Raw genomic sequence first — 9,028 nt, forward strand, 5'->3', positions numbered from 1 at the left:
TGAGTCTTTGTGTGGGTGCCTGCCTTAATTTCTAGAACCTAGAGAACTCTCTCCCTAAGTAGCCTTAGTGAAACCTGAATTCTTTCTAGGACTGTGCTAGATTTTGGAAGGCAAGCACTACACTATCTTCTTTTTGTTGCTCATATCTGGCCAAGAGCCTAGATCAGTGGTACACAGTAAATGTTTAATAAATGTTGATCAGCAAACAATATCTTAGCATATTCATTTCTTGGAAGTATTAACTAGTTTGCTTTTGTAACACCTTTTAGTCCAGCTTTCATTTTCCATTTTCCCTTCCTGAAAACACTCAAAGGCCATTTCTGTCTCATTTTATCATTCCTGGAAGAATATCACCCAAGTATATCAGGCAGTTTTAAGTCTTTTCAAAATTCATGGAAATAAGTATGGAATAATTTTTACCAGCCAATATTAATGGCAGTGCAGAAGAAAAATACAAATGCAATATAATTGTTTCACTGAATTTCTTAATTTTTATGTCTGTGTTAAATTTAACAGCAACTGAGTGGGGAAAGATTTCAGGTCATCTTTTCATTGTTCCATTCATGGCCTGTGCAGATAAGTTGCATCAGATCTGATGAGAAGTAGACTCAAATGAGTGAGCACTGTTTCTCTTCTTGTGGGGTGCTGCTGTGGGGTTCATCTTTCTTTCTAGACCAAGGAGATAGCTAAGAAGGAGAGAATTCACTGTGGTAGTTCTTGACTTGCATGTTGTAGGTTGCTCTTTATCTCCACCATGACTGATTTTAGCCTAGGGCTTTGGATCAGGCATAAACAGCCAAAGTTACTAACCTAACAGGCCAGACAGCTTTGCCATTTCATAGTTCTCATTTAAAAAATCTATCCAAGAAGCCCTACCTACCTCAAGTCAATCCCCAGCTTCCTAAGCATTCAAGGCCTTCAGTCTATATCCTTAAGGGAACACATCTGTAGAGACCTTCCTACCACAAGTGACACGTCAGCCCAGCCAAACACTCAGAGGGCACATTATCGTGCTAAGTCCTACACTAAGTGCTAGGGATATAAAATCAAATAGAATTTCAGCCTTCACCTTCAGGAGGTTACAGCCCAGTGAAGGAGACAGACATCCAGCCAGAAAATGTCAGTAAAATGTCAGCAAATGTGACAAATGACCAATTCCTCCACCTTGGTTCTAAGCATTCTCCTCTACCCCATAGTCGGGAATCTTAAGCTATTGTCTCTTTTCTCTCCTGATTCTTAAATCTTTCCTATCTGTTCCTTCCTTTAGCATCTAAATGTGTGGAAGCTTCTCCCATTTTAAAAACTGTAAAACTGGCCGGGTGCAGTGGCTCACTCCTGTAATCCCAGCACTTTGGGAGGCCAAGGTGGGCAGATCACAAGGTCAGAAGATCAAGACCATCTTGGCCAACATGGTGAAACCCTGTCTCTACTAAAAATACAAAAAAATTAGACAGGCGTGGCAGCACGTGCCCATAGTCCCAGCTACTAGGGAGGCTGAGGCAGAAGAATTGCTTGAACCCGGGAGGTAGAGGCTGCAGTGAGCCAAGATCATGCCACTGCACTCTAGCCTGGCGACAGAGTGAGACTCTGCCTCAAAAAACAAACAAACAAATAAACAAAAAAACTGTAAAACTACAATTCTTTCTTTACTTACTGTTACCATCTAGTATTAACCCTTTCTCTTTACTTTCAGAGCCAAACTTCTGGAAAGAGGTGTAGTCTCTCCACCTCTCTCTCCTCCTCTTCTTTCCATTCACTCCTTAAGCCACACACTATGGATTTCACCCTCGTCATTCCACCAAAAGCATTCTTCCTGAGGTCAAAAATATCTTTCTGGGTGGGTGCGGTGGCTCACATCTAATCCCAGCACTTTGGGAGGCCAAAGTGGGCGGATCACTTGAGTCCAGGAGTTCGAGACCAGGCTGGCCAACATGACAAAACCCCATCTCTACTAAAAATACAAGAAATTAGCCAGGCGTGGTGGTGCACACCTGTAGTCCCAGCTACTCGGGAGGCTGAGGCAGGAGAATCACTTGAACCCGGGAGGTAGAGGTTGCAGTGAGCTGAGATCACACCACTGCACTCCAGTGTGGGTGACAGAGCAAGAGTCTGCCCCCCCCCCCCAAAAAATCTTCCACATCATGATATTCAAATAATGCATTCTAGTGTAGTCAGCCCCTTCCTGGACATCTCAGCTCCATCTGGCACAGTCGATGATGTCCTCCTTTTAAAAACACTCTCCCCTTCGGCTTCATGAAACATTCCCTCATTCCCCAAATTCCACAAAACACCAAACCCTTTCCCCTTGAAGCAGACACACTGCCCTAGTCCAAGCCCACATAGCTCTCGTCTGAACCACAGCAGGAATGTCCCAACTGAGCTTCCTGTGTCTCCTCTCACCACCCTGCCCTCCAGCCCACTTGCCACATCACAGCCAAATGAGCTTTATTTAAAATATCAGATTTGATCATATCTCTCTTTAAACTCTTAATGATTTCCAACTTCCATAAGGATAAAGTCCAAAATCCTTAGCGTGGCCTGCCATAAGCATCCTGGTCTGATCTGTGCCTGCCTCTCTAGACTCAGGTCAAATCACCCTCCCCAGCCCTCTCTCCATTCTGGCCGGTGTGATCTTCTTATGGTAAAAAAAAAAAAAAAAAAAAAAAATATTGCATGGACTTTCTCATTTCAGCTGTTCTCTCAGCTTGGAGTGGTCCCCCTCCTCATCTTTGCCTGGCTAACTCCTACTCACTACTCAGATTTCAACTTAAATGCCACTTCATCTAGAAATCTGATTCCCAAGGAATTGGTTAAAGCCCAATATGATCATACAGCTTGTATAGCACTGTAGTTCTTCTTAACAGTCAGCACACCAATTATTACTTATCCAAGGTTTACCTTTACCCCTAGACATGACTGAATGAGAGCAGGGGCCATGCCTGTCTTGTTCATTGCAATGTCCCCAACACCTGGCATGGTGCATATTTTTAATGAATTAAGAAATGAATGAATATACTGAATGCATTAAGAACAATTAAGAGGGACACCTAAACCAGTCTGTAACAGGAAAATGAAGGCCAAGCATTTTCCAAATCTATAATACTATGATTTCTGGAGGAAGAATGCATAGAAAGAGCCAGATGCTTGTAAAGGACAGGTGTATTTACAGAAACAGCAAAGGTGTGTAGAAGGGTTTTAAAAGAATGATTGTTATTCTGAAGTGCTGTAAAATACAGCAGGATCTATGGTGTGAACAAAATCTAATAACTCTGGCCAGTAGCATGTTCTGAGAGAACATATGTTATAGTAGATGAATTTATGTTGCATATGTTTAGCTAAGTAAAGGATACTTACACAATCACTTCTAGAATGAGTCATCTGGAATTAGCTCATGCCCATAAATCAACACAACCCAGGCCTGAAAGAATCAAGGCCTTATACATGCAAGAATTTGACATTTAAAACAAAAAAAAAAGCAGCATTAGCAATCCATAAAAAATGTTAAATCATAAATGTCTAGAGCTGTAAGGAACCTTATATTATCCAGCTCAACCCCGCTACACCTCCTATCATTCTCATCCCAGGGGTGTGTAATATGGGAAGCTGAGGCCCTAGGAGGTTAAGTCACTTTCCTCTGGTTACATGTCTACTTTGTGGCTAAACTGGTCGTAGAAACTGGGTCAGCTGGGCACAGTGGCTCATGCCTGTAATCCTAGTACTTGGGAGTCCAAGGCGGGCAGATCACGAGGTCAGGAGTTTGAGACCAGCCTGGCCAATGTGTGGAAACCCATCTCTACTGAAAATACAAAAATTAGGCAGGTGTGGTGGGGTGCGCCTGTAGTCCCAGCTACTTGGGAGGCTGAGGCAGAAGAATCACTTGAACCCAGGAGGCAGAGGTTGCAGTGAGCCGAGATCTCACCACTGCACTCCAGCTTGGGTAACAGAGTGAGACTCCGTCTCAAAAAAAAAAAAAAAAAAGAAAGAAAGAAAAAAGAAAACAGGTCTGTATTTCAATGCCTCCTAATTATCTGTAACTTTTGATTCTGTAAACTTCAATAAGACTACTCCAAACCATGGCCTGAAGGTGGTTTTCTGGAAACCCTTACCTTCCTCCAGTCTTGATACCGATTCACTATATAGCATATCCTGCGTGAAGAGAAGCCTGTGGGTGCTGCTAACCTCAACACCTACCCCGTACCACCCACACTGCCGAGGGGCTTAGGAGTTCCTAATGGCAGTAACTGAAACACTTTGAGTAACTCCTTTAAATGATGTCCTGTTCTGTGGCATTAAGTAACATCGCTCTCATCTGTCCTTTGTGATTTCTCAGTCTCCCTGCTGTCGTATTTGGGAAATATAAATATTTGGGAATAAACAAACAATGTAAATAAATGTTTGGGAAACTTCTTGTGTTATAGAACATTATAGAAAATATACATATTTGTTTTCATCTATCTATATAGATATATAGATATATATATCTTCTGCATCATGATATTCAAATAATGCATTTTAGTCAGCCCCTTCCTGGACATCTGAGCTCGTTTGGCACAGTCGATGATGTTCTCCTTCACAGTTAGTTCCTGGTTCATAACTCCCACATCCCTTGTTACAGTCTTTCGTTATAATGCTGGGTGTGTTAGGTCTCAGGGGCAGGCCTCAGGAAATAATCTCTTTCCTGCATTCCTTTTACCTGACCCAAGGCAGGATTCTAATGTTCCCTGTCTTTCTGATTGTGGGTCTTAAGAGTCTCCCCGATGAGGGCCTCGCCTCATACCCTGGGGGAAGGAATGCTGATGTCACGAAGTTTCCATAAAAATCCAAGAGGACTGGGTTCAGGGAGCTTCTAGATAGCTGAACACATGGAGGCTCCTGGAGGGTGGAGCCCAGGGAGGGCATGGAACTCTGCATCCCTTCCCCTATGTCTCTCCCTATGTGTTTCTTCATCTGTATTCTTAGTAATATTCCTTATAATAAACAAGTAAATTTAAGTGTTTCCCTGAATTCTGTGAGCTGCTCCAGAAAATTAATCAAACCCAAAGAGGGGATTCCTGGGAATCTCAACTTCAAGCTAGTTGGTCAGAAGTTTCAGAGGCCCAGACTTGCAACTGGTGTAGAGGAGACAGTCTTGGGGACTGAGACCCAACCCATGGGATCTGACGCCATCTCTAGGTAGATAGTGTAAGAATCGAATTGGAGGACATTTGGCTGGTGTCCACTGCTTGAAGTGTGGCAACCAACCCCCTAACCCCCAACATATTTGGTCATAGAAGCCTTCTGTGTTGATTGTTGTAGTGTGAGAGTAAAGACACAGTTTGAGAGAGTTTCTCCCTGCACAGCCACTGATTGCACACTTTAGAATGGCTAAGGTGATAAAGTTTGTGTTATGTACATTTTATGACAATAAAAAATAATTACTCAACAACTTCCAGCTCCAGCCATGATGGTAAGCCCCACTCCTCCTAGATCCTCCCTCTTACAACTTAAAAACATAAAATAAATAAATTAAGATTGAATCCTGAAACATGTTCAATCAACCCATAGGAAGGTACAAAAAAGAGAGACAGAGGGACAGGAAATAGAGGAAACAAAAAGAAAACAAAGTAGTGGGGCAGATATAAGCCCTAACATATCAACAATTCCCTTAAATGTAAGTGGTCTAAATACACGAATTAAAAGACAGAAATTTGCAGAGGGGATAAAAATAAAAACATGTTCCAACAATAGGCTATCTATAAGAAATTCACTTCAACTTCAATTACACAGGTGGATTGAAAGTAAAAGAAAGGGGAAAAGATATACCCTGAATTCATTAATCAAAAAAGAGCAAGTCTTGGCTATATTAATATCAATGCAATTAGTAATCCTTGTTTTTAAACCACAATTTTAAAATTTCACTAGGAACAGCCTTGAAGAGCCTCTGTGTTTCAAGAATGCTGACATCTGCCAAAGGCTTTGCAGCCCTGTCTCAGACTGGCTCAGTCCACTTTAGCCCAGGTCATGCAGATTTGTCTCCCATTAGATGTGAAGAAACAAAGTGAAAGTCTCTCTTAACCTGCTCTTCTGCCCTCCTCACAAACCAATTAAAATAACTTGAGTCATTTTTCTAGCTTTGTATTGACAGAATTTTAAAGATGAATAATATTGTGTGAGAATTTTGAAAAAAGTGTATGCTGATAATACTGACAGGAACATAAATTGATAGAGTGTTTTTAGCAATTTGACAGTATCTATATACAGATGCTCCTTGACTTACAATAGGTTGTGTTCTGATAAAACTATTATAAGTTGAAAATAATCTTAAGTCAAAAATGCATTTAATACACCTAACCTGCTGAACATCATAGCTTAACCTAGCTTAAACTTGCTCAGAACAATTACACTAGCCTACAGTTGGGCAAAATTATCTAATTTAAAATCTATTTTATAATAAATGTTGAATGTGTGAGGTAAGAGTATCATACTACTTATCACTAGCTCTGGAAAAAGACCAAAATTCAAATTCAAAGCAGTTTCTATTAAATGTGCATCACTTTCACATCATTGTATAAAGTTGAAAAACCATAAGTTGAACCATTGTAAGTCAGGACCATCTGTAATCTATATAATAACTTTTAAATGTGAATATCCTTTGATTCACCAATTCTACTTCTATTCTAGTATAATTTTTCTAATGAAGTACTTTGGCATTTATACAAAAAGTTGTCCATTGCAACAAAATATTGGTAACATCAACAGAGGAATGAGCAAATACATTATGGTACATTCTTCTGTGGAATACTATGCAGCAGTTAAAGAAGTAAATTTATAGGTACTAAAATGTTAAAGAAAACAAAATGAAAACCAGGCCTGAAGAATTCTTGAGCAGACAAAATTGGTTATGCCTCATCATAACCTTGCTTGATTTACAAGCGTAAGTGAAACTTGAGCTATATTTTATAAATGCCTATATTAAAAACAGAACTTAAGCTCAACCAATCAGAAGTAGCCAATAAACTTATGTAACTAGGGACTTTCCAAAGGGATAGACCAAACAAGGCAACTGTATAATTGTAACCCATCAAATATTTTCTTTGCTTTACTTCTATGTTCATCCTATAAAAGCTGCCCTCTTGTGTTCCCTCCATGGAGCTCCTAAGCCACTTCTGGTTTGGAGCTGTCCCATTCATGAATCATTGTTTCCTCAAAGAGACTCTGAAATTTTGTTGTGCCTTAGTTTACTTTATAACAAACATAAATAGGGCTTTAGAACACATTTTTATTGATGTATACTGTTTCACTTGGGGTGTATAAAAAATTCCTACTTATAATAATGGTTTAAAATTTCAAATTTATTAGTGCTATGAAATTGCTACACTATTGCTAGTAGTGATATATTATTTTGCTCATCAGCACATGAAGCCTGGAATAGAGTGGTTATATTTGAATCCCCAGAGCATCTTAGAGTCTAGCACATTATATTTACTTAAAAATTGTTTAATTAACCAATTGATGAAAAAGGCCAGCAATTCCAAACTTCCTTCCAGCTCCAGTTCTTTGATTCTAACTGGAGAAAAACTGCCCTTACATATAAAATGTTCATGACAATACCTATCTCAGACAGCTGCTATAATGATAAAGTATCCAAAATTGCTGAGGTGAGGGGTGTTATAATTTGGTAGACAAATTCCAGGGGCTATTTGTTGTTACTCTTCATTGGACAAAACTACTTCTCTACAAAATTCAGACTCGCTCTGAGAAGTTTCAGAGAGCTAATTTCAGTGTGTATGAAGGAGGAGGGGCAGGGAGTGAAGGAAAGACAGGTGGAAATGTCAAACACTAAAACCACTGCTGTAGTTGAGAACAAAGCGGGAGCTGACGGTCAGCACTGATCATGAGTGCTAGACTTCTTAAAAAAGCAATGGTCATGTTACGGAAAGTCTCACATTTGTTAAATGCTTTAAGCACACAGTGTATTTGATTCTCACAACCAGGAAACTCTTGAAATCCAACCTCCAGAGACGTTCTAATCCAGTTCTCTCATCTACCTGTCATTCTTTGGTCATGCTTGATGGAAAACTAGATTGCAAACTTTTAAAAATTCCTGGGGCAAAGAAAATTTATAAATTTGTAGATTCATTTCCTGAAGCTGCCATAGCAGATGACCGCAAATGGAGTGCCTTTAGAAAACGACAGAAATTTATTCTCTCACAGTTCAAGAGGCCTGAATATGAAATCAAGGTGGCAGTAGGGTTGGCTCCTTCCAGAGGCTCTGGGAGAGAACCTGGTTTGGCTTTTCTCCTGGCTTCTGGTGGGTGCTGGAAACTCTCGGCATTCTTTTGCTTATAGATTCATTGCTTCATTCACCTCCAACTTCACATCATCTTTTCTGTTTTTGTTTTTTTTTCTTTCCCGTCTGTCTCTTCTCCTCTTATATAAGGATGCACACTTGTCATTGGATTTAGGGCCCACCCAGATACTCCAGGGTGATTTCATCCTGAGATTCCTAGCCTAATTATATCTGCAAAGTCCCTTTTCCCAAATAAGGTCACATTCAGAGGTTCCGGGTGAACATATCTTTGGGGGCAGGGGCACTCAACCCCCTACAGCTTGTTTGTATGATTTTGATTTTGGAAGAAAGCTACTAAAGCAGAAATATAAACAACAGAAGTAAATGCAAAAGATAAACTGAATGGAAATAAAAGCTAAAAATAGAAAACCGGCAGTTTCATGGGCAGTTTCAAGCTGACAGATTTAAGGAGTTTGTGGTATCTGTTCCAAAATTCTGCAATATCCTTTTAAAGAGGCTGACTCAAGCTTGGAACTAAAATGTTTACCACTTACCAACCAGAGCACACCACCCTCCCAGTGTCCTTTCCTGGAATTCAGGAATTTATAAAAAACAAATTCATATCCTGGAATTTCTAAAAAACAAATATTCATGACTGTAATATACTAAGATATAATTACTTGAGAGGAAAAAGCACACAGAAGCAATTAAACAGAGTTTGAAGTGTCATCTACTAAATTTAGATTGTTTCCAGTAAGG

General features: G+C 39.9%; 1 annotated feature.

Moving 5' to 3' along the window:
* Positions 4,039-4,539: an enhancer, noted in NCBI's record as "H3K27ac hESC enhancer chr6:25174961-25175461 (GRCh37/hg19 assembly coordinates)". NCBI's record gives its function as "activates a minimal SCP1, AML or CMV promoter by ChIP-STARR-seq in naive H9 embryonic stem cells {active_cell/tissue: H9 hESC(naive)}" and the evidence as "EXISTENCE:reporter gene assay evidence [ECO:0000049][PMID:30033119]".

The sequence above is a fragment of the Homo sapiens genome, chromosome 6 (assembly GCF_000001405.40).
Source record: "Homo sapiens chromosome 6, GRCh38.p14 Primary Assembly".
In the NCBI taxonomy this organism is placed as follows: Eukaryota; Metazoa; Chordata; class Mammalia; order Primates; family Hominidae; genus Homo; species Homo sapiens.